The sequence below is a fragment of the Homo sapiens genome, chromosome 4 (assembly GCF_000001405.40).
Source record: "Homo sapiens chromosome 4, GRCh38.p14 Primary Assembly".
Lineage (NCBI taxonomy): Eukaryota > Metazoa > Chordata > Mammalia > Primates > Hominidae > Homo > Homo sapiens.
In genome coordinates, this window is record NC_000004.12 from 147,819,872 (window position 1) to 147,844,991 (window position 25,120).

General features: G+C 42.5%; 1 protein-coding gene across 5 annotated transcripts in view, besides 4 other annotated features; it reads left to right on the top strand.

The window, feature by feature from the left end:
• Positions 1-25,120, top strand: part of ARHGAP10 (Rho GTPase activating protein 10) — a 340,689-nt gene that overhangs the window by 87,784 nt on the left and 227,785 nt on the right. For 4 of the 5 annotated variants that reach the window (XR_001741324.2, NM_024605.4, XM_005263215.4 and 1 more), the window contains exons 2-3: positions 2,856-2,951; positions 3,025-3,086. Coding sequence is in view for 4 of the 5 variants with exons in the window: in NM_024605.4 (NP_078881.3) it covers positions 2,856-2,951; positions 3,025-3,086 (158 nt within the window). In the remaining variant the exon portion in view is untranslated. Of the gene's footprint in view, positions 1-2,519; positions 2,610-2,855; positions 2,952-3,024; positions 3,087-25,120 lie in introns of those variants that run through there. The other variant, XM_047416161.1, reaches the window with a different exon arrangement.
• Positions 730-1,230: an enhancer, noted in NCBI's record as "H3K4me1 hESC enhancer chr4:148741752-148742252 (GRCh37/hg19 assembly coordinates)". NCBI's record gives its function as "activates a minimal SCP1, AML or CMV promoter by ChIP-STARR-seq in primed H9 embryonic stem cells {active_cell/tissue: H9 hESC(primed)}" and the evidence as "EXISTENCE:reporter gene assay evidence [ECO:0000049][PMID:30033119]".
• Positions 1,231-1,731: an enhancer, noted in NCBI's record as "H3K4me1 hESC enhancer chr4:148742253-148742753 (GRCh37/hg19 assembly coordinates)". NCBI's record gives its function as "activates a minimal SCP1, AML or CMV promoter by ChIP-STARR-seq in primed H9 embryonic stem cells {active_cell/tissue: H9 hESC(primed)}" and the evidence as "EXISTENCE:reporter gene assay evidence [ECO:0000049][PMID:30033119]".
• Positions 11,536-12,735: an enhancer, noted in NCBI's record as "CDK7 strongly-dependent group 2 enhancer chr4:148752558-148753757 (GRCh37/hg19 assembly coordinates)". NCBI's record gives its function as "activates an origin of replication core promoter dependent on BRD2, BRD4, P300/CBP, MED14 and CDK7 cofactors, with strong dependence on CDK7, by STARR-seq in HCT116 cells {active_cell/tissue: HCT116}" and the evidence as "EXISTENCE:reporter gene assay evidence [ECO:0000049][PMID:35650434]".
• Positions 23,412-23,471: an enhancer, noted in NCBI's record as "active region_22011". NCBI's record gives its function as "activates an Ori minimal core promoter by ATAC-STARR-seq in GM12878 lymphoblastoid cells {active_cell/tissue: GM12878}" and the evidence as "EXISTENCE:reporter gene assay evidence [ECO:0000049][PMID:35858748]".

Below are 25,120 nucleotides of genomic sequence, written 5' to 3' on the forward strand. Positions count from 1 at the left end.
TTACAGGTTTGGCTGCTGTTTCAGGGATGTAGAGAAGCATAAGACTGACAGCCGTCGCTTCAGGGAAATGAGGTTCCGGAGTGGGAAGATAGGTGACAATGCGCAAATATTGACTAAATAAGTTTGGGTGAATGAGTAAGTGCTATGAAGGAAATAAGACGGCAGTAGAATGGAGAGGGCCACGGTGCCTAGGACTAGCCCTATCCTAGGAAGGCTGAGGTGGGGAGGATTCCTGAGCTGAGCCATGGTGTTGGAGGAGTGGGCTAGTAAAGATGTAGCCTCAGGGAATAGCAAGTAAAGGGTTTTCAAACTGGAGTGAGTTTGGCATGTGTGAACCAAGAGCAACCAGTGTGTCTAGATCTTAGAGAACAATTGCATGTTTGCCTGGTTTACATTAGGAACTAAGTTATTTTATTTATTTACTTTATTATTTTGAGACAGTCTCATTCTCTAACCCAGGCTGGAGTGCAGTGGTGTGATCCTGGCTCACTGCAACCTTCGCCTCCTGAGTTCAAGCGATTCTCCTGCCTCAGCCTCCCAAGTAGCTGGGACTACAGGCAACCGCCACCACGCCCGGCTAATTTTTGTGTTTTTAGTAGAGATGGGTTTTCACTATGTTGGCCAGTCTGGTCTCCACCTCCTGACCTCAGGTGATCCACCTGCCTTGGCCTCCCAGAGTGCTGTTACAGGCGTGGGCTACCTCGGCCAGTTTTTTTTTTTTTTTTTTTTTTTTTTTTTTGAGACAGGGTCTCCCTATTGCCTAGGCTGGAGTTCAGTGGCATGATCTTGGCTCACTGCAACTTTCTCCTCCTGGGTTCAAGTGATTCTCGTGCCTCAGCCTCCCAAGTAGCTGGTATTAAAGGCATGCACCACCATGTCCAGCTAATTTTTGTAATTTTAGTAGAGATAGGGTTTCACCATGTTGGCTGGGCTAGTCTCAAACTCCTGGTCTCAAGTGATCTGCCCACCTTGGCCTTCCAAAGTGCTGGGATGACAGGCGTGAACCACCACACTGGCCATATTTTACATTTTAACACAACCAAATTTTATTAATTTTTCTTTATCAGTTATCTTTTCAATTACCCTCAAACCTAATGGCTAAAATAGCAGCCATTTATTCCATTGTGCGCTTTACTCACTGGGCAGTTACATGTCCCTCCAAACAGCCTCATGCATGTACAGGGCTGGCTGGCTGGCTGGCTGGTGGGCTGCTGCTGCGGCAACTATACGGGGCCACTGAGCCAGGAGTCATTCATCAGTGAGCCGGCGAGCCTGGGCTTGTTCTCGTGAAGGACTGAGGGTTCCATGAGAGTGGAGCAGAGGTGTGTAACATTCCTTGAGGTGGAGGCTCTGAATTGGCACAGTGTCACTTTCTCTGTATTCTATTGGCTACAAGACTAGCCCAGGTTCAAGGGGTGGGAAATAGATGAGTTTCCATGGGAGGAGCTGCAATGTCAGTGCACTGAGATGTGCCTGCAAGGAGGGCTGGAGGATTGGTCCATGCTTGCAATCCATCCCATTTCACCTTATGCTTGGTGCTTTTCTTCTATACTTTAGGTGTAAGAAATTAAAATCCTGTATGATCCAAAAGTTTTACAGTTTTGCCTTTTCATATTTAGGTCTTTCAGTGTTCACATATTATTTTTAAAAATTGCAAACAGCACGATAAACATGAATTAGAGGAAAAATGAAGTTTCAGAAACTTACAGTGGGGAATGTTGAACAAAAGGTTAGAGGCTGTGCACGTGGTGGAGCAGGGGCTATATGGGGAGCCTTTGTATCTTCAGCTCAGTTTTACTGTGAACCTAAAACTGCTCTAAAAATAGTCTATTAAACAATTTTATTACCATAATATGACTCAGTCTTCATTATGACAGTAATGTGTGAAGGAGACACACAGGAAGACAGCAGCTGTGTGAAGTGCAGAAGTCAGTCAACACCTTCTTAGAAAGTGCTTTAAACCAGAGGCAGGATTGTATACTGCTCAGGCCATGGCCTTTGGACCAGTGGTTCTGAAGAAGAAGCAAGCCTTCGCTGCTATTGTTTGTAGCTGTGCCAACCTTATGCAAATTACTCAACATCTTTGAGGTTTGGCTTCTTTGTTTGTAAAATGGTATAATAATCTTTATATATCTCTTGAGAATTTTTGAATGAAATGAAATGTGTATCACCTAGCACGGTGCAAGGCCTGTAAAATAAATGTTAGCCTATTTTAGAAGTAGAGTTTTCCACTATTAATCTCCAATTAAGATGAGGACCTCTGTAGGTCTTTTGCAGAATTAATTCTTCCTACCATTTCTTCTTGGCCTTCAGTTACTTCTCTGATGCTGTTTTCTATGAACATTCTTTTTGAATCTTCTGGGTTTCTCTGGCTGGAGTGGTTATTTGGCAATTGGTTAAGAGCAGCTGGTTGGCTGACCTTGGGCTTTTGAGTTCCTTATGTCTGAAACCATGGCAGGCAGCCAGATTGCATCAAGCCACTATCAGGTGTGTGTGTTCCTAATCACAGCCTGAACTTCAGAATTGGGCAAGTCCTGACTGGAGTGAGCAGAGAAAGGGAGAATACTTTAGGGAACAATGTGAAATAATCAGATCTGAGGAAGAAGGAGGTAGGGGAGGGAATAAACATTTTTTCAGCATCTGTTCTGTGGCAGGGTATGAACTAGAAGTCAGAGGCTACCCAGAGCGTGCCAGGTTGAAGATGGCGGGCCATTTGGCAAGGGAGTTGGGTCATGCCTTCTCATAGATTGAGCGGAGGAGAGCTCTACAGCTTTACCAATTTTAGGAAGAATAAATTTCTTTTATGCTTTGACATAAAACAAGAACCCAAGTCATCATTATACTTTTCTTTCTAGGTCTGTCAGTGGCCCAGCGGAAGTTTGCTCATTCACTCAGAGACTTTAAGTTTGAGTTTATCGGTGATGCTGTGACAGATGATGAACGATGCATAGGTAATTAAACATGATATTTTGGTTTGTTTTCCTTTGCCATGGCCACCAAATAATCACTCCTTTCTTCTTACAGATGCTTCCTTACGTGAATTTTCAAATTTTTTGAAGAATCTGGAGGAACAGAGAGAAATTATGGTGAGTTGAGAGGGGTGTAAATTAATAAGTCAGCTTTCAAGGGGGAAAAAAATCTGGATTTGGAAGCTTGTTCTGGTAGAAGTTGTGAAGCATTTATCCCTGGGTACAGTAGTGCATTGTAATGGAAAGATGAGGTTTCCGGAGCCCTGATTTCTAGTTCCTTGAGGGTGCTGACCACGGTCAGAACTTGGAGAAGCTGCTGGGCCTCTCGACCAAGGCCTTACTTCTTCATCTGTAAAGTGGACAGTAGGACTACATCACTGCTTTCTAGCTTTTTGTTGCAGCAGAGCACTTTAATTTATGTAGGCTCTCATGCAGAAGCTTAATATATCAGCGGGATAAAAGCAGAAAAGCTTATGTAGAAACAGAGGACAGCTGGGCAATGTTAGTGCCTGACTCATACTCCTGTAGATTTCTAGGCTGTGTGGAAAGGGAGAGAACTTGGGCCTTGGAGGTCTTTGAGATCCCACTTTGCATCAAGATTCATGATCATAACAAGAATAAGAAGAACTACCCTTGGCCAGGCATGGTGGGTCATGCCTGAAATTCTAGCCCTTTAGGAGGCTAAGCTGGGTGGATTGCACAAGCTCAGGAGTTCGAGACCAGCCTGGCCCACATGGTGAAACCGCATCTCTACAAAAATACAAAAACTAGCCAGGCATGGTGGCATGTGCCCATGGTCCCAGCTACTCAGGAGGCTGAGGTGGAAGGATCACTTGTGCCCAGGAGGCTGAGGTTGCAGTGAGCCGAGATTGTGCCACTGCCCTCCAGCCTGGGTGACAGAGCAAGACCCTGTCTCAAAAAAAAAGAAAAAACAAAACAAAAAACAAAAAACAGCTGTCCCCCATGGGGTGCTCTTCATATGCAGTGCTGTGCTGAGTGCCTTGAGTGTATGATCTCATTTGCACTCAACTGTAAATTTTGGGGTTATTGAATATTGTCTGCTTTTCTTAAAAGCTTACATTACCTTCCTAATGATATTCTTTAATTAAACCAGATTTACAGCAGAATTGCTACCAGGTTGTGACACACCATCTATTCTCACCATTTATTTCAGGCTTAAAAAAAAACACAGATTCAGGCTGGGCGAGGTGGCTCATGCCTGTAATCCCAGCACTTTGGGAGGCTGAGGCAGGCGAGTCACCTGAGGTCAGGAGTTCGAGACCAGCCTGGCCAACTTGGTGAAACCCCATCTCTACTAAAAATACAAAAAAATTAGCTGGGTGTGGTGGCATGCACCTGTAATCCCAGCTACTCGGGAGGCTGAGGCAAGAGAATTGCTTGAATCTGGGAGATGGAGGTTGCAGTAAGCTGAGAGTGAACCACTGCACTCCAAACTTGGCAACAGAGTGGGACTCTGTCTCAAAAAAAAAAAAATACGGATTCTTTTTTCTATATTCTTGAAAATGAGTACTATCTAGAATTACGTTATAGTGTAAGTGTATGAGTGGGTCTAGATGTGGTAGAAATAATACTGGACATATTAGCTAAGTTGGTTTACCTTGACTGTGTGCCAGTGCATTAGTCCGTTCTTACAGTGCTATGAAGAAATACCTGAGACTGGGTAATTTATAAAGGAAAGAGGTTTAATTGACTCACAGTTCCGCATTGCTGGGGAGGCCTCGGGAAACTTACAGTCATGGTGGTGGAAGGCAAAGGAGAAGCTGGCACCTTCTTCACAAGGTGGCAGGATGGAGTTGAGTGCAGGCAGGGGAAATGCCAGATGCTTATAGAACCTTCAGATCTCACAGGAACTCACTGTCATGAGAACAGCATGGGGGAAGCCACCCCCATGATCCAATTACCTCCACCTGGTCCTGCCCTTGACATGTGGGGATTATGGAGTTTACGCTTTCGTGTAAGATTTGGGTGGGGACACAGAGCCAAACCATATCAGCCAGGAGCTGTTCTAAGCTGTTTACCTAATGCTAAGTCACTGAATTCTCACATCAACCCTATGAGATAGATTCTGCTGTTGTTCCCCATTTAAAGGATGAGGAAACTGAGGCACATTACCTTGCCCTAGATCACATGGCATCTAGGAGGTAGAGCTGGTATGTGTTAAGAAGCAGGCACTCTGAACTGCCCTCCCTGTCACTGCAGCTGGCTTCGTAGGTGTCACTCTAATTTCCTGGGTGGTGGCTGGTGGGGGTTTATGTTGGCTAGGGCTGCGGGAGGACACTGATTTGGATTTAAAAAGTGACAGAGGGCTGGGCGCAGTGGCTGATGCCTCTGTAATCCCAGCACTTTGGAAGGCTGAGGTGGGTGGATCACCTGAGGTCAGAAGTTTGAGACCAGCCAGGCCAACCTGGTGAAACCCCGTCTCTACTAAAAATACAAAAATTAGCTGGGTGTTGTGGGCACCTGTAGTCCCAGCTACTTGGGAGGCTGAGGCAGGAGAATCAGTTGAGCCCGGGAGGCGGAGGTTGCAGTGAGCTGAGATGGCGCCATTGCACTCCAGCCTGGGCGACAGAGCGAGACTCCATCTCAAAAAAAAAAAAGTGACAGAGACATATGTCCTCAAAAGCCCTAATATAATTTGCACTCATTCCTAAATTTTGAGGTAATTTGTGTGTATATATTGTAGATACTGTAGAGGGTGTGTGAAGACAGTGTGGTCCCATGAGGTTTTTCTGGCACACACTGACAGATACAGTCATTATTCATGTGATCCTGTAGTCATCAATTTTTCAGCTATTTAGGAAAGACTAAATAAGATGGTGAATAAAAATAGTGCCATGACATCACCTTTCTAGTACATGGAGCCGATGTGTGGGCTGGTGAGGTACGTGTTCTTAGTTTATGTTAATAGTGTCAATTTTTTTTCTTAACCCTCTTTGATAGTTGTACTTCCCTGGCATCCTGAACATTGAGCGCATACCTATTGATCTCTTTTTATGTTCCAGTTGCTGTTGAGAATCTCAGGACAAAGGTAAAGGCAAAGAAAGCAAAAGTCTCTGCCTTCATGGAGGTTAGATTCTAGGCGGGGGTAGTGAAGTAGAAATAAACCTGTAATCCATTGGCAGGCAGTGAAAAATGCTACAAAACAATACAGGGCAAGGAGCCAGGTGGGGCGGGGCTACAGCATATCTGGAGTGGTGAGGTGCGGACTGCCTTTTCAGTAGGATACTGCACAAAGGGCATCATCCTGGTGTCTGGAGGAAAAGTTCTGAGCAGAGTGGTGCTGGATTTTAGCTCTACAGAAATAGCGTGTGACCATTGTTAGGCTCAGTATTCTGTTTCTGTTTTAGGTTCCTAGAAATAGAGCGATGAGGTCCAAAAACAGGAACATGGTATTGGCTCCAGGCTGTGTGGAGTAGACAGCATGGTTTGCAGAGCTGTTGTTAGCCAACTGGCTGGTTTAAGCTCCAGCTGTGATGGAGGTTGATAGGGTCTCTGTGTTAGACAAGGTTGGGTTCCCATGCAGGGTAGGAACGAGAATAGGGTGGTGTCTGTATAAGGCCATGAACCTTAGGAGTGGTGTGGTGTGTCATACACAACTCATTGTGGGAACAGAAACACCTGCTGGAAAGCAGGACGCTGTCCAAAGCTGGGGTGGGTGGCAGCCACAGCCAACCACGGAATTAACAGGACACCTCCTAATGCTTTCTTCCTTTTTAGCTTGGAAAATTTCAAACATGTACCAAAGTCGAGAGAAATATACAATGAAACTACATGGACTCGACATCCAGCCTCAGACCAGTCTCGTTTCTCCTGTGATCCCTACTCCCCTTGACCCCCTGCTCTCCTCATTATTTTGACAGAAAGCCCAGTTTCATTCACAAATACTTCAGTATATATCTCAAAAAGCAGACACTTAAAAAAACACAGTATCCTTATCACAATCAGTAATTTCTTAATTTTGTGAAAAGTTAGGTCATATTCAAGTTTTCCTGATACTCATTCCAATTCTGCCTCTTTCCCTCCCCAAGCCCCGCCCTCAATAACAGTTGGTCTGTTTGAATCTGAGTCCAAACATATTACATTTGACTGATACATTTCCAAGTCACTTTCAATCTATAGGTTCTTCTCCCCATCCGCTTTTTTTCTCCTTTACAAGAATTCCTGATCCTTTTATATTTGCCTCGGAAACCTTTAAAATAGTACTTTCCTAAGTTATCAGTGAGTTGCAATAATGAAATTAGTAAAAGTTGAAAAGTTGGATTCTTAACCCATATTGACATTGTTTGGGTACTTCTCATCTTGATAGTCACTGATCACTTTTTTTTTTTTTTAAAGTGGAATCACTGTGGCTACCTTTGTTTCTTTAAATACCTTTGAATGCTTACTAAAACATAACTGATGCATTGCAGAACACTCGCCTGAAACTTTTGAGGAAGAATAGATACTTGCCTCAAGAAATTTCCAGTGTGATACTGGAGAGTAAGTGGTAAAGAGCTAATTAAATAGCCTATACTAAGTGCTTCAGACAAGGAATGGGAAAAGAAAACAATATACAAAGTGCGCCAGCAAAGATAATGTGGCTCACATGGAGTGGGCAGCCCCTAAGCTTGTGGCTGTTAGGAAAGGGTTTATGGAAGAAGTATTGGAGCTAGAGTTTGTGGGGTGGAGACACAGCAGAGGGCCTTTGTATAGTTTAGTAAGCCCATACCCCCGACACCGGGACAAGGAGAAAAGGAATGTCTTTAAGCAGCTAAAATGGTTGCCAGTACATTCTGAGAACTTTGAAAGACTCTTGTTTTACTTAAATTTTTTTTAACTTAAAAGTTTTAGAAACCATCAGCATGTTAAAAGCCACAGATTAAGAAAGGAATGCAAAATGACTGTAAAATGGAGGTAGAAATAGTCTAAAATTGGTTCCAAGGATTTCATAGTGGTCACTTAATCTTTTTTTTTGTTTGTTTTTGAGATGGGGTCTCGCTCTGTCACCAGGCCTGAGTGCAGTGGTGCAATCTCAGCTCACTGCAGCCTCCGCCTCCCAGGTTCAAGCGATTTTCCTGCCTCAGCCTCCTGAGTAGCGGGGACTACAGGTGTGCGCCACCACGCCCAGCTCATTTTTGTATTTTTAGTAGAGATGGGGTTTCACCATGTTGGCCAGATGATCTCAATTTCTTGACCTTGTGATCTGCCCGCCTCATTCACCCAAAGTGCTGGGATTACAGGCATAAACCACTGTGCCCATTCCACTTTATCTTTAAAAGCAATTAGTTTAGTATTTTCTGAAATCCTAAATTGAATAATGGTGCAGCATAATATTAATAATTGGATATTCATAATTAAGACTGAGTCATTAAAATGTTAAAACTACATATGTCTATTTTAGAAGGCAAACAGTAATGTCAACTATTTTAAAATGTTTTCTGAATCTTAAGGGTAAGATGAGACTTTAGGTTTTAAGGGATAAAGTCATCTGTGTGTATGCTCAGCAATCCCTGTTGGTTTTGAGCCACCAGTTATATAAGTTCATACGCCTCATCTCTATGCTTAAATAGGCTGTATTAAGTATACAGTTCAACAAATAGTGTGTGCCTGCCACATGCCAAGCACTGTGCCACATGCTATAAAGATAAAGACATAAGTAGTGATTCATCCATTGGAGGAGATGGCTGAAAGAAGGCATGTAATTTCCAACATGCTTCGTGGTAATCAAGTGATTGAGAAATTCAGGGAAGGCATCTTGGAGAGGTGATATCTGGGCTGAGTTGAAGGATGAGCCTTAGCTATGTCTGGTTTCCTCCTTGAGGGGAAACTGTTGAAATTTCGAAAAGAGGGAAGGATATGTTTGCATAGCCCCTTCCTTTCCCCCCTACAATGTCCAGCTTTGTTCCTACTAAAGTGAATTGTTGGAGAGAGAAGTAGAGCAATTGCCAGTCTAAGAAAAAAAGTCAGTGTTTCCCTCCACACTCAAAGAAGTGTAATTTCTATGAATACACATGCCTCACCCTTTAAAAAGTCAAGATAGTTTTTTTTTTTTTTGAGATGGAGTTTCGTTCTTGTTGCCCAGGCTGGAGTACAGTGGCATGATCTCAGCTCAGCTGCAACTTCTGGCTCCCAGGTTCAAGCGATTTTCCTGCCTCAGCCTCCCCAGTAGCTGGGATTACAGGCACCTGCCACCATGCCTGGCTAATTTTTTTGTATTTTTTTTTTTTTTGAGATGGAGTCTTGCTCTGTTGCCCAGGCTGGAGTGCAGTGGTGTGATCTCAGCTCACTGCACCCCTGCCTCCTGGGTTCAAGCGATTCTCCTGCCTCAGCCTCCCGAGTAGCTGGAACTACACGCGGGTGCCACTATGTCCGGCTAATTTTTTTTGTATTTTTAGTAGAGACAGGGTTTCACCGTGGTAGCCAGGTTGGTCTCGATCTCCTGACCTTGTGATCTTCCTGCCTCGACCCCCCCATCGTGCTGGGATTACAGGTGTGAGCCACCGCGCCCAGCCAATTTGTTGTATTTTTAGTAGACATGAGGTTTCACCATGTTGGGCAGGCTGGTCTCAAACTCCTGACCTCGGGTGATCCACCCGCCTCGATCTCTGAAAGTGCTGGGATTACAGATGTGAGCCACCGCGCCCGGCCAGGACAGTGTTTTTGAGTGAGTAGTTTTTGCTGATCATGTTGCCACCCTTGACTCTGGAGGTGAAGAACTCAACCTGGGGAGTCAGATCTGATACAGTTAGTGGCTGCAACTGCTCTACTCACTTCTGCGCGTGTTCTCAGAGGAAAGGGCTGTGTGGTGTGTTGCTGCCAGAATTCCAGAGATGTTCTCTCTGGCATGGCAGGACATGTTGTACTTATCTGAGGTGGGCAGCTGTCCAGGAATCTAAGGACTTTTAAAATAGTGCTGTAGTGTTTATGTTGTTCTTTTAAAAGCCCTTCATATTGCGTTTACTTCTCTACATGTATTCTTTTATCAGATCATTGAGTTTCATCCCTAGCCTAAAATGGTTGCCCAGTTTCTCAGGATTCTGGCAAATAAGGGCAATTGGTTGAGACCCAGAGGTTCAGGAAAACTGCGGGGAAGCGGGAGTGCCAGGAGAGAGAAGGTGGAGCTTGCCTGATGGTGCACAAAAGGTGCCTGAGATGGAGCTGTTCCGCCTCCCTCTCATCCTGGGGGTGCTGGGGGCAGACTGGGCTGCTAAGGAGATGTGAGGAAGTGTCTTGTCCACGGCTGCACCCCTTTCCCCATTTGGGCAGGAAAGCCCTTTGCCTATGCAGACTCTTCAGGCTTTTGAGACCCTTTTCTTTTTCTGTTGTTTTTCTCTACCACAGACTTTACCCTTGTGAAAATACCAGGCCAGGGATCACTTCCTGGGTGACCTGCCCTGACCTTTTGCCCCTATAGGGAAGGTACTAAGCTGCTGCATACCAAAGGCTTTTGTTAGCATTTAGATGGTCGGTCACAGGCAAGACGTGATGCCTGCTCTCTCAGCCCTGGCCTGTGCTTTACTGCACCCCCTTCTCATCATCCTTTCATGCTCTCAAATCTCCTCCATAAGTTTTTGGACTTTTGACACGGATTTTTGTTCCAAACTATTAGGTTGGTACAAAAGTAATTGCGGTTTTTGCCACTTTTTTTTTAAATGGTCAAAACCACAATTCCTTTTTTTTTTTTTTTTTTTTTTTGATGGGGGGAGCCTTGCTTTGTCTCCCAGGCTGAAGTGCAGTGGTGGGATCTTGGCTCACTGCAACCTCTGCCTCTCATGTTCAAGTGATTATCCTGCTTCAGCCTCTTGAGCAGCTGGGACTATAGGCACTTGCTACCACACCCAGCTAATTTTTGTATTTTTAGTAGAGACGGGGTTTCACCTTGTTGGCCAGGCTGGGCTCGAACTCGTGATCTCACGTGATCTGTGCGAATTGGTCTGCCAAAGTGTTGGGATTACAGATGTGAGCCACCGCACCCAGTTGAAACCACAGTTAACTTTTGCACTTACCTAAATATTTTTTAAAAAGTGTTTCAGAGTATTACTAAAAGAATGTATGATGGTTAAAATGAGTTAAATGCATTCCACCTTTTAGGAGCAAATATGCTATTCTTTCTTTAGTATGCCCTAGGGCACTTGTCATCAAAGTATGGTCCCTGGTCCAGCATCACTTTAGGAACGTGCAAGAAATGCACATTCTCAGGCCCACCCCAGAACTCTACTGAGTCAGAAACTCTGTCAGCTGGTCTTTCATGAAACTCTCCAGGTGATTCTGAAGCAGGCTGAAATCAGAGCTACTGGCTTAGGGTGCTAGTGAAATCTTGGCTGGCAATCCTTTCCTTAGGGTTAGATCTGTCTGGACGTTGGATACACTCTAAATTGTTTCGTGATGACTGTGTCCCTGTCAGGAGGTTAAAATAGTGATGGAAAGCCTAAGCTTTGACTTCTCATTTCCAAAGGATTTGAGACTATAGCTGGTTTGTGTTAATGGAATAGGTTTAGTAGGATTTTTAGTGTTACTTACTTTGTATTTAATATTGCTTGTGAGTTCTTATAGGATAAGTACCTAAGGCATTAGATGCCATTAAAAAGATTATGCCTTTAGTTTCATCTTATTATATTTACAGTATTTTATATGGCATGTGAAGCTTGTTTTAATCAGTTCTTTTACAGTTTATGTGGATTTCTGTTGGCAGGCACATTCAGAATGGAGGAAATTCATCTTGAACTTATTTGTGAGAACATTTCTCAGTTTGGTTTAAAAGTTGTCAGTGACCTAATTTTATGAAGACTTTTTCCTCCTTGGAACTGACCTTTACAATTGGACAGCATTGCTTTTTCTTACAATTCTCTTTTTCCCGTAAGCCTGTTATTCAGTCAGATAGGGATGTCTTTGTAAAACCTGTTTTTCAGGAATGTACCGTTTGAGAGTTTAATTTACTGACTCAGAATCCTATAGAGATCACAGTCAGGAATAACTCAAATCAAAATTCTAAAATGAGTGAAGATTATCTTAGGCAGGAGGCCTGTCTCCTTCTTGGACCCCTTTCCCTGCAAGGCCTTGCCCCATGACTCAGTGTCCTCTCTGTTGGTGACTCATTATCATCTGTGGCCTTCCAGCCTTGTCATCATCAGATTCTACTTCCCTGTTGAAACTTACATTTCCTGAATTTCATATCCTTAGGGTGTATTCTCTGCTTCTGAGGAATCGGCCAACTCTGCTCTCTTCTTCCCCCTGACTGCCCCGCCCGACATACACACACCCACCCACACACACACAAGGGACCCTAGAATGTAACCAGCCCATTTAATTGTCTAATCCAGAGGAGTGATTCGATTATTGGGAATGTGTGCAGCTGAGTCTGCTGTTTCACTAGGGAAATATTTCGGGATGAGCCAAGGTACCTAGGATCAGCCTTTAGACCATGTCATGAAAATATTAGATGGTATAGCCTTGAAAACAAAGAACTGAAGAGAACTTAGGGAGACATATTTGACCACTTAATTTTTTTTTTTTTTTAAAAAGAGGAGTCCAGGCACGGTAGCTCACGCCTGTAATCCCAGCACTTTGGGAGGCCGAGGTGGGTGGATCTTGAGGTCAGGAGTTCAAGACCATCCTGACCAATGTGGTGAAACCCTGTCTCTGCTAAAATTACAAAAATTAGCCAGTCGTGGTGGCGGGCACCTGTAATCCTAGCTACTTAGGAGGCTGAGGCAGGAGAATCGCTTGAACCTGGAAGGCGGAGGTTACAATGAGCTGAAATCGTGCCACTGCACTCCAGCCTGGGTAACAGAGCAAGACTCTGTCTCAAAAAAAAAAAAAAAAAAGGAAATTGGAGCTCATTGAGGGTGGAGTTTCTACATCACTAAATAAGGTTGTGACAGAGATGAAAATAGAATCTTTCACATCTTCTAGTATCCTAACGACATTATGCCTTACCTTTTTCTCTTTGTAAGACATAATATTTTTCCTTCCACCTTTGAACATTAGTGAAATGGATATGTATCTTATAGTTGCTATCCACCAGGCAGCAGTCATGAAACGGACATGAGGTTACTTCTCTTTTACTCTTTGGACAACTGTAGCTCCTCAGTATTTCAGTCCACAGACCACTTAAGGAAGAAATATGAATGCTGGTGGTGGTTTGAAAACCTTCCGTTGAGACCTGGTTAGGTCAAGGAAGTGCTGGTATCAGTATCCAAAGAGTGGGTGCCTGCCATCATCTTGGAAGAAAATCCTGGATACAAGAATGGAGCTCCTTAAGAGCACCCTTTGAAGAAATGATGCATCTCCAGTATTTTCAGTGGCACAGAGGAAAAATATGTGTGGTGATACGGTTTGGCTCTGTGTCCCCACCCAAATCTCACCTTGAATTGTAATCCCTATGTGTTGAGGGAGGGACCTGGTGGGAGGTGATTGGGTCATAGGGCCAGTTTTCCCCATGCTGTTCTTGTTATAGTGAGGGAGTTCTCACGAGAGCTGATGGTTTAAAAGTGGCAGTTTACCCTGAACTTGGTTTCTCTCCTGCCACCATGTAAGACGTGCCCTTCTTTCCCTTCCCTTGTGCCAAGATTGTAAGTTTCCTGAGACCTCTGCAGCCATGTGGAACTGTGAGTCAGTCAAACATCTTTTGTTTATAAATTACCCAGTCTCAAGCAGTAACTTCATAGCAGTGTGAAAACAGACTAATTCATGTGGGAAAAACCAGATTTTGATGACTGAGATGAAAAGTGATTCAGAGGAGTTGGACTTTGAAGAAGTTTTAGAAATATCTTAACAAAAGTAGTTTGCTTACTTCTTTATGCACAAGAGGGATACATGATGAAAACATACCTTTCAAAGAGCTTTTTCAATGTATATAAAAGTGCTAAGTGTTAAGCTATTATTTCAAGATTAGCAGGATTTTTTTGTGGTAGGATATAAAATAATGGAGTGTTTTACAGTTGGTGGTGATTAGATTCAATGATATATATATTAAGTTGGTGGTAGAGATTGTGTTAGATATTCAAGAAAATGCCAATGTAGTGGGAAAATATGGTTTCGAAGCTGTGGCAGCCATGGGCACCTCTCAGATAGAGGAAGGAGGAGTGACATTGACTATCAGGCCCAGCTGCTCTGTGGTACAGTTGTGTTAGTGTGAAAGCCATGCCTCCCACGTTCTGCCTATCTTTGTCTGTTTTCTGTTGCTTATAACAGAATACCTGCAACTAGGTAAATAAAAGGAATTTGTTTCTTACAGTTATGGAGGCTGAGAAGTCCAAGAGTGGGGGACCCAGGTCTCTCTTCCTTTTTCTTTCTATAAAGTCACCAGTCTACTCCTGTGATAACCCATTAATCCATTAACTCATTAGGCTGGGAATGGTGGCTTACACCTGTAGTCCCAGCACTTTGGGAGGTGAGGCACGAGGATTGCTTGAGCCCAGGAGTTCAAAACCAGTCTGGGCAACATAATGAGACCCCATTTCTGCAGGGGCAGGGGGAAGCCAGGTGTGGTGGTGGCACGCATCTGTAGGCCCAGCTACTTGGGAGGCTGAGGTGCGAGGATTGCTTGAGCCTGGGAGGTTGAGGCTGCAGAGAGCTATTATTGTGCCACTGCACTCTAGAGTCTGGGTGATAGAGTGAGACCCCATCTCAAAAAAATTAATAAAATTCATTAACCCATTAATTCATCAGTGGATGAATCCATTCATCTTTTAAGGCCCCACCTCTCAATAATGCCAGACTGGGGATTAAGTTTCAACTTGTTTGAATGTCCCAAGCCTTCTAACGGCAGCCTTGTTAGACTTACCCCAGAATGGCACTGCAGCCTCACCCACACACACAAACACACAGACACATCCACCCACCCACACTCACACCCACACCCATACACATACCCACCCACTTCCACCCGCACACCCACCCACCTGCCCCCACCCTCACACCCATACACACCCACCCATCCGGCTTGCTTTCCTTCCCTGTCTCCTTCCCCTGGGTCAGACCTGCATCACTGTCTGATGGCCCCTCCAGTCTTCCCTGGCTCCCTCCCCATTTTCTCTCACAGATGTTTCCCCTAATAAATTTCTTGTGTGTCTCATCCTGTCTTGGTGTCTGCTTCTTAGAGGACCTGGACTAACAAAAATGAACCATTTGGAGTAAAAGATTCAGGGTACTTAGCATTGTCATTCATCGGTTGCTATTATCACTATAAGCAGAAAATGTTGCTTTTATGTAGAAATGCTGTTCTTTAAATTATCTAAATTTATAGGAGAATCCCACTTCATTTATAAATATTTTGAGTGCCTACTATGAGCCACCGTGTTCTCACACCTGAGGATACAATGAGGAAACCCTTGTCCAGAGTGCTCAGCTAGTGGCCGCCTGGTAGAGAATGAGTTCCCAAGAGTTTTTCAACCCTGCAGCCCTTGTTTTTTACTGTTGACTGCCACTTTTTTCTCTTAACCCGTGCATCACAGATGGGCTGGAAAGAAAAGCTTTTGTCATTGATTAAAGCCATTCTTTTCTGAATGTTTCTTTTCTTCTCTCACATTTTTTCTTTTTCTTTTCCTTTTCCCTTAAGTCTTGCTCTGTCGCCCAGGCTGGAGTGCAGTGGCAGGATCTTGGCTCACTGCAGCCTCTGCCTCCCAGGTTCCAGAGATTTTCCTGCCTCAGTCTCCCTGAGTAGCTGGGGTTACAGGCATGTGCCACCATGCCTGGCTAAATTTTGTATTTTTAGTAGAGACAGGGTTTCACCATGTTGGCCAGGCTGGTCTCAAACTCCTGACCTCAGGTGATCTGCCCGCCTTGGCCTCCCAAAGTGCTGGGATTACAGGCATGAGCCACTGCGCCTGGCCTATTTTATTTTCTTGATTTAACAGTTTATTGCCTTAGTATGCACGAGGTTCCATTTCTAGCTGTGCCACTGAGTCATACCATTCACTTCAGAAACTAAAATTTTCTCTTATGTAAAACAAAAAAAAAATTCAAAATTGCCTCATGAAACTTTAATTTCTATGGGGTTTTTATTTCCTCTCATAATAATATTCTTCCCAAGTATTTATTTTGTTTAAAATATCGAAGCGAGGTTCTTACTGTCCCTTATGCACAGAGGGAAGGAAGATCAAGTTTCAGCATCTGCTGCATATCCTTATTAGGCAGACTCATTCCTTAAATACTCAGTAGCTTTTGTTTTATGATTCTCATTTTTTCCTAAGTGTACTTAAAAACAAATCTTTACAGGTAGATTGTGTTTGATTTAAATAATCTGAATAAAATTTCTGCTATCTTTTTTCAGTTAATGTCCTTCAGAATGGATGCTAGCTTTTCTTTTGTGGGAGGCAAACACACCCTAACATACTTGTTCGTAGAAGATAGATACTAAGAGAATCGTAGACTTTGGTGATACATTGACCTTTTTTTTTATTTTTATTTTTTGAGAGAGCCAGGTCATAGGCAGATATTCAGGGAATTAAATCAGAGACCAGAAGTTGTCAGAATTTCAGCCTTAATCCTCTTTAATAGGACTAGGTTTCAAGTTTTTCACAGTTCAGGATTGAAAGTTGATAAAATTCTTACTGGGGACATTTTATTCTTGGATTATCTGTATGAAAGCAGAAGTGTGATAATTGAACTAGTCGATTTGGGATATATACTTTAAAATCATAGTTTCTAGCTTATTATGTGAGTCGTCTTTGGTCTGAAAGAATGAGGCATTATTCAACAGCCATTTCCTATTAATCGGCTCCTGATTTTCAAGTTTGAACCCTGTGGAATTAATTTATAGCACCTGAGCACCTGTGTCCCAGTTAGAGCTTTGTGCGTGGGTTCCTTAAATCTAAGTACCAAGTAAGCTAGTACTTAGCTAATGAGTGTGAGCTATTGCCATCATAAAATTGAATTTCGTTTTTACATTAGTTTCTCTACTGGGAAAATTAGATTAGCTTGAGCTGTGCTTGAAAATAAAATACCATACTGGGATTTGTTGGGAAGTTACAATTGCTTCAAGTATGATGTGCCTTTTTTTTTTTAAATTGTTTTAGGTAGGGAGAAAGTATTATTCCTGGCTTTATAGTTGAGAATATTCAGGTAACAAAAGGAAATTGTTATTTTCTGTCATCTAAAAATAGAACTAGTTAGGGCAGAGCCAAAATGAAAACACGTTGGCCTCCTATTTTTCCGTGCTGGAGGGCCCTCGTAGCGAAATCGATTGTGAAACTTTTTCACTTTTTGTCAACATTAGTCTTTTGACTCTTGTTCTTTCTCTTATGTCAGGTATTAAAGTGGGGGAACTTTATTGGCCATCTTAATCTTTCTATTTAAACTTGAGCCTAGAATGATGGGGAAGGTATAGGCCGGGGGAGGCTGGATAGATGGAGAAAGAGGTACCAAAGGGTGAGTGTGGAGGGAGAGTGATGTAATTAATTGATAATGAATTGGTTTAATTAGGGGAACTCTTGTGTTAGGAGTATAGAGAAAAGAATACGAAAGCATTTTGTCAAGATTGTTTATACGGTTCTGAAATTCTAAAAAATACTAATCCTTTATTAGTCTGGATTCTCAATTGCAAGCACTAGCTAGTTTGAACATAAAGGAAATTCATTAAAGGGTATTGGGTTTCTTGTAGTATCTTTAAGAGATGTGGGGAACCAGGAATGATGCCCAGGTTGTACCACAGAGCTGGGCTTAGAGCAGATGCCACTATTGCTACTGGATGTGGACACTACAGTTTGCACCAAGAGCCTCACTGCCCTGTGGCTGTTGGAAGAACTGCTGCCTCTGGAAATTAGACTAGTTGCTGCCACCTCGCTAGAATCTCTGGTCACTGTTTTTTTTTTTTTTTTTTTAAAGCAGTAGCTTTTGAATCCAAGTCTTGGATGGGACCATCTCATTAGTGGAACCCTAGCTAGGTGTCATTACCTTACTGCAAGCCAGTGTCTGTCATTTTTGGCTTTTATGGTGGGAGGTGGACTTTGTTTCAGTGGGAAGGAGAATTCCTCAAACATAGGAAGGGGTTTCAAGTGCTGGGCAGCCCAAAAGGACTGATGTTCCTGTATGTGCCTGATTGTAAGACAACATTATTTTCCCAGAAGATTAAACATAATAAAATTGTTTCAGACAACTTGAACACGTATACTTTTAGGTATGCATATGTACATCTGCTAGATAATCAGATGTCTCCCTTCATCATTTACTTGATTAAATATGTGTCCATATTTAAAATCAAATAATAGGCAAAGTCAGCATATATTTTAGAAACATTTTCTGCACTTATTTAATAAAAAATTTGTCCCAGCTCTTGGCACCTTTGAGATTAGTATATTCATCATGGATACATTCTGAATTTTTCAGTACAGCTTTCCAGAGCATTGATGGCCACATCTGCCTGAGTTCTTTGAGCTATAGCACCTAAAATCTTTCTGATGCTTTCACTGGAAATTTTATCTCAAGCCAAAAGTATATGTTAGCAGCCCATTTGGACAGTCTCTTTAAAAAACTTATTCCTGAACCTGGCACAGTGGCTTGAATCCATAATTCCAGCTACTTAGGAGGCTGAGGCAGGAGGATTGTTTCAGCCCATGATTTCGAGGCTGTAGTGATCTGTTATCACACCATTGCACTCCAAGCCTGGGTGACAGAGTGAGACCCTTGTCTCTTAAAAAAAAAACACACACACACACACACCAAAGACTTAACTCTGGGATATGTTTCCATGATTTCTCTTCCTCCTCTTCTTCTTCACAGGGTCTAACTGTTGCTTGGGCTGGAGTGCAGTGGTGTAGTCACTGCTCCCTGCAGCCTCAACCTCTCGGCCTCAACTAGCCTCCCACCTCAGCCTCCTGGGTAGCTGAGACTACAGATGCATGCCACCCCACCTAGTTAATTTTCTGTATTCTTTATAGAGATGGGGTTTATGCCTTGTTGCCCAGGCTATGATTTGTTTAATGTAACCACTGATCTTATTCCTTTTAAAGTGAGCTTTATAAAATTACTGAATACAAAATTTTGAAGTCATCTCTGGAATTGTAACTAAATATCTTAAATTTCTTAGTGTCCCTTTGTTTTTGTAACTTAGTCCTGTTTGTAATCTCTAAGTATCTGAAACTAAATGTGATTAGGGCTATTTTAGGCTAAGATTCCTCAAACAGTTGTTGATCAAAATAATGGGAAAGTCCACTCCTTTAGAAGACTCTTAAGAACTCTTACACGAGGCAAGTTCTTTTTTTTCCTAACAGATCATTTTGGGAAAAAGATTCCTTTATGTTTAGATCTATCGTATCTATCTATCTATCTATCTATCTATCTATCTATCTATCTATCTATCTATCTGTCTGTCTGTCTATGTATATATAAAGTTTCTAGGCACCATTTAAGATTCCGTTTCAAGGAAAAACAAGAGCTGTGTTTTTGCTGAATGGTTTCTTTGCTGCTATTCTTGACATTAGAATTGGAAAACAGAATTTTCCCTTTAGTTTAATGAAATGGGAAGTATCTGGAAGGTCATGGGAGAAAATAGGGGAGATATTCCTTTGTTCTCAGATTATGCATTCCTCTGGGGTCAAAAACACGTGGAATCCAGGCTTAAAATAATGAGTGTTCTGGGGAACGGATGTAAAATTCCTTCTGTTTCACTATACTCAGCCTATCCTTGTTAGTACTGAGTGATTAGAAAGGCATGATTTAGTAGTTATACTGACTTACTCAGTTTTACCTAGACTGAGACTTTAGAAAATTGTTACTAAAGATACTATAGGATGTAGGTATGCCTTTGTTGTGTTTTTACTGGGTATGGGGTTATAGCCCTAAGTCCTATTGTCTTTAGAATTTATGACATCAGAACTTAGACTTTGATTTCCAGTGTGGGGGAATGTAAAGTTGTTGGAGTGGTTCCTCCCCACAGTGGAGTCTGATTCTCTGCAGGTTGGTTGTTATTCTCAACAGATTTTTTAGCTCTAGCGTGGACTGTGGAGGATAGATTAAGATAACATAACTTTCCTTTCCTTTTTAGACATTTAAGATCCTTACATCCGAATGTCTGACGAAAAAGGATTTCAGACTTGAGTAATTGTGGGAAACATTTTAATCCTCCACACTGTTACATAATACTCTTTTTACTTTGAATTGTGAAGTTCTAATGGATTCTCTAGTTTGCTGTTGTAGCATGATTCTCAAAACTACAGCATGGAAATGTACTTTGTACTTCTGTGTCTCCCAGCTCATTTAGAATCCCAGATTGATAGAGATGGATGAGGACCTCCGCTGTCCTCTTGGCCAGCTTTCTCCCAGTGCAGGCATGTGTGAGAGGGTATTCCTGGTCATGGGTCATCTAGTCTCTGCTTGGTTATGTGGAGGGAGCTGGAGGTCACCACCTTGCCAGGCAGCCTGTTTCATTATAGTTCTCTTGAGTCCCTATGATAGGAAACCCAAATCTGCTACTCTGCAGCTTCTACCCATCAAACCTGGCTTTGCTCCCTTTAAGCAAATCAGAATGATTTTTTTTCTTCTCTCATGCAGTACCCATTTAAATATTTAAAGACAGCTTTCATGTTTCCACTAAATGTTCTCTTCCTCCCCACTCACATGAAACATCTAGTTTTTTTTATTTCTTCCTCCTAAACCTTTTTAGCATTCTGGTTACATTCCTGCTTTACCCCAGTTGGAAATGGCTGTTTTAAAATGTGGTAACCATGCTATTGAGGTAAGCTCTAATCTAACGGGGGATGCAGTCGAGTGCTTACCTTGTTTGGATTCAGGCGGTATGTGTCATCAGTGTATGTTACAGGGTCAATTTGTGGCTCCATTGGCTTATGTTAAACTTTCAGTTAAGAGAACATTTTAGGAGATTTGAGCCCAGTATGAAATTCATGTGACCTGTTCTCGAGACATCTTGCACACCTGAGCAGTTGCCTTTCAGCATCCTGTAGATTGCTTATCCCAGGCAAATCCTAACGGCGCTACTTTTGAGTCCCTCTCTTTAGCTCGAGAGCTCCTTGAACTGTGATTCTTTTATCCAGCATTCCTTCTTCCTTCCCAACTTCTGATTGGCTGCAAATATTGTAAATGTATATTTTTTAAAAATACAAGATAAGCGTAAGAGCATTGTTTTGCCATGATACTCAAGATGATCCTTTCAGGCAGGGTTTGGCAAACAGTGACCCATGGGCCTGACCTACCTTGCTTCCTCTTTTTGTAAGTCAAGTTTCGTTGGAACACACTTGGACCCATCATTCATATGCTGTTTGTGGCTGCTTTTGTGCTACCACAGCAGAGATGAGTAGTTGGAACTGCAGCTGCATGGCTGCAAAGCCTAAATTATTTACTACCTGGTCTTTTATGGAAAAAGTTGGCTGACTTCTGCTGTGAGGAGAGAGCATCTGATTATTTCATGTTCAAGAAGCTTCCTTTTGTTTCCAAGCAGAGCTATCCAAAACCCTTTCCAAGGCTCACTAGCCAAGGCATTTTGCGACTTCTTTTCTTGGCTGGTTCAAGTATTTTATAGGAATATGATTATGTAATCTGTATGTGTGGTTATAAAATCACATTCTGTACTTGTTCTCTTATCTAATTTCTAATATGTTAGTATTTGAAAACTTCTCAATATTATTACTTCATCCATCTCCTTGACATTGGGAAACTGTCATCACTGTAAATTGCCTTTTAAGTTTTAGGGACAGTCCTAGATTTGGTATTCATTTGTTGCTGGGGAAGAAGGATCATGTTTCACCATTAGGAAACATCAGTAACACTTACTACTAACAAATATTATATAATATTTCTGTGAAATTATAGCAGGAAGTGAGAGATTCCGTGGAGCTTCCAGTCTATTTTGAGAAAAGGAAATTCTTGTTGCTCAGTTGACATTGCCTTATTGAAACATTTATTGGCTTCTTTATTATTTTGTTCTTAAATATAATTTTTAGGTTCAGTTTAGAAGTTATAAAATCAGGCTTTGCTAAAGAAGGAAAATCATAATTTTAAGCTCTTCAAAGTATTTTTAATAAAAAAGTTTTTTATAAATGAGTTGGATATAGTGTTATTTGCCACAACTACTACTATCCTTGTTTTGGAAATTTGCTTACCGATCTGAAGATAGTAAGGCAGAAACCCTTATATTCTTCCTCCCACGTCACCCCCAAGATGGAGTCTTGCTCTGTCACCCATGCTAGAGTGCAGTGGTGCAATCTTGGCTCACTGCAACCACTGCCTTCTGGGTTTGAGCGATTCTTCCTGCCTCAGCCTTATGAGTAGCTGGGATTACAGGTGCCTGCCACCATGCCCGGCTAATTTTGTTGTATTTTTAGTAGAGATGGAATTTCACCATATTGACCAGCTGGTCTCAAACTCCTGACCTCAAGTGATCCACCCGCCTCGGCCTCCAAAAGCGCTAGGGTTATGGGGTGTGAGCCACCATGCCTGGCCGTGAAACCCTTATATTCTTTTTCTACTCTAGTGTTAGCCTTTGGGGCTCAGACGGATATTGCATTGAATTCTCCAAATGAAGGAAAAATATAATGACCTAAGATTGCTCTTGTGTAATCTTTGTAGCCTGGTTCTTTTGGTGGAAGACAGTGTTTACTCCAGAGTATGGAGTTTTGGGGTTCTTATTTTAAAATGCCTTCATGTGTCTATATTATTTATAACCTACCTCTACTTTCTGAGCATTTCCTGGGTCCCATTCTGATGGCTAATGGAGACCATCCGATATCTCTAGCCTTGTCTCGTGATCCTCTCTGATTTCCTCATCTGCTTTAGTGACACCGAGCTGCTTAGGTTCCATGCCCTGAAATTGCTGTTTTCCCCTCTCCACATGGAAGGCCTTTGCCTGGAGAACACCGTCCCTCTGTTTCAGGCTGAGCTGTGCATAATCTCCTTCAGGAAGTCTTCTCTTACCCAGGGGGCCTTCCTCCTCTGCTCCCCAGAAGCTCTGCGCAGCTTGCCAGCACTTTGTCTGCCACGTCATACTGTGCTGACGTGTTCACATCTCTTAGAAACACTCGCCTGGGATGAACTCAGCCACCCACCTTTTCCCTTCCTTGCTGGAGAAAATCCCACAATAAGGCAGATGATAACTTCATAAACTCCTCCTCACCTATCTCAAAAGGACTTCTTGTTTCTCTAAGAAGTGTTGTCTCATTTGTAATGATTCTTTCATTCATTCTTCAGTTAGTTGGGCGTGAAACTTCTCATGTCCAAACTCTCTGCAAGTGACCTTGTTTTGTACTTTATGGAAAAAATAGCCATTTGGTAGCAACTCTCAGCTTTTTGTCATGAAGCCCACAAACCCGTTTGTACTGGGCACCCCTTTTCTCCTTCTATCACAGGGAAGGAAGGATTTTGACTCGTATGACAGGCCAACCCTCCATGCATGCTCAGCATCCCATCTCCTCCCGTGTCAGAGATTTTGAACCATTCTTTCTGGATTCTTCACATGGGCATTTAGACATGCTCTCATCTCTTAAATACCAGCTGTCTTAAAAGAATACATGCCTTTACTTTATGGCATGTTCTCTTTCAGCAGTCATCCTCTCTCTCTACTGCCCCACCTGGTCATTCTTTGAGGAAGGGTTGTTCCCCACGTGGTCTCACCTGTCAGTCATAAATCAACTCCAGCCCAGCCCTTTCTGCCACCTTGCCATGGATATTGCTGAGCTCTCATTCTTTCTTTAAAACGTCTCTGCAGCCCACACAGCTGAACTCCTTTTTTTTCTTTTTCTTTTTCTTTTTCTTTGAGACGGAGTTTCGCTGTGTTGCCCAGGCTGGAGTGCAGTGGCACGATCTCAGCTCACCGCAACCTCTGCCTCCTGGGTTCAAGCGATTCTCCTACCTCAGCCTCCCGAGTAGCTGGGATTACAGGCACTGCCCGGCTAATTTTGTACTTTTAGTAGAGACAAGGTTTCTCCATGTTGGTCAGGCTGGTCTCAAACTCCTGACCTCAGGTGATCCACCTGCCTCGGCCTCCCAAAGTGGGATTACAGGCGTGAGCCACTGCACCCGGCCTGAACCCCTTTCTTCTTTTATCCAACACCTTGGTAGCTTTCTCCAGTTTCATTGCCATCGTTTACCTCTGTTCTTTCATTTCCTGATCTGAGTACTTGGTCTGAGACATTTCCATTTTTCTACCGTCCTACCTCTCTACTTGCATGACTTCAAATGCCATCTACTTGCTGATGAGGACAAAATTGGTATCTCTGACCTAGGTGTCTCTTCTAGGCTGTGGACCTGTGTCTCTGACAGCTGGTTTTACTAAGATCTTGGGCGTTTCTCAGCATCTGGGATTTAACATGAGCCCTTAGTGTGTGCTCCCAGCTGCTTTCCCTCAAGATTTTCCCTGTTGCAGTAAATAGTGTCCTTTATTTTTTATTTTTAAATTTATTTTTATTTTTAGGATTTGTGAGTACATAATAGGTATATATATTTATGGGGTTATATTAGATATTTTGATAGAGGCGTGCAATGTATAATAGTCACATCATGGAAAATAGGGTATCCATCCGTTCAAGCATTTATCCTTTGTGTTACAATCTAACTATACTCTTTTAGTTATTTTAAGATGTACAATTAAATTATTTTGAGTATGGTCACTCTGTTGTGTTATCAAATACTAGGTATCATTCATTCTTTCAAACTATTTTTTTGTACCCATTAACCATCCCTACCTCCCCCCTACTATACTTCCCAGCTTCTGGTAACAACCCTTCTACTCTCTATCTCCATGAGTTCAATTGTTTTGATTTTTGCATCCCACAAATAAGTGAGAACATGTGATGCTTGTCTGTCTGTGCCTGGCAATAAGTAGAATTGTTATCTCTTCATTTGTTCATGCCAGAAATCTGGGAGGGATCCTGGAAATCTTCACCTTTTCCATTCGGTCAATCTCTCATTACTTTGACACCACCTGCAAATATCTCTCAAATCTGTCTACTTGTCTTTACTTCTGTTGTTGGTTGCCTTCATTTGAACCACCGCCATCTCTTCGTGTACCACTCTAGAAGCCTCCTAACGAGTCTGTCTTCCGGTTTTCTGTACCTTTCATCTCTCCCTCAGCAGCCAGAGTAATCTTGAAAAGCTCTAATTATCATTCTGTCAATTCACTGCTTGAAAACCCTCCTGTGGCTTTCCACTGTACCCCCAATAAAATGCTAACCTTTCCCAGAGCCCACAAGGCCCGGCACGCT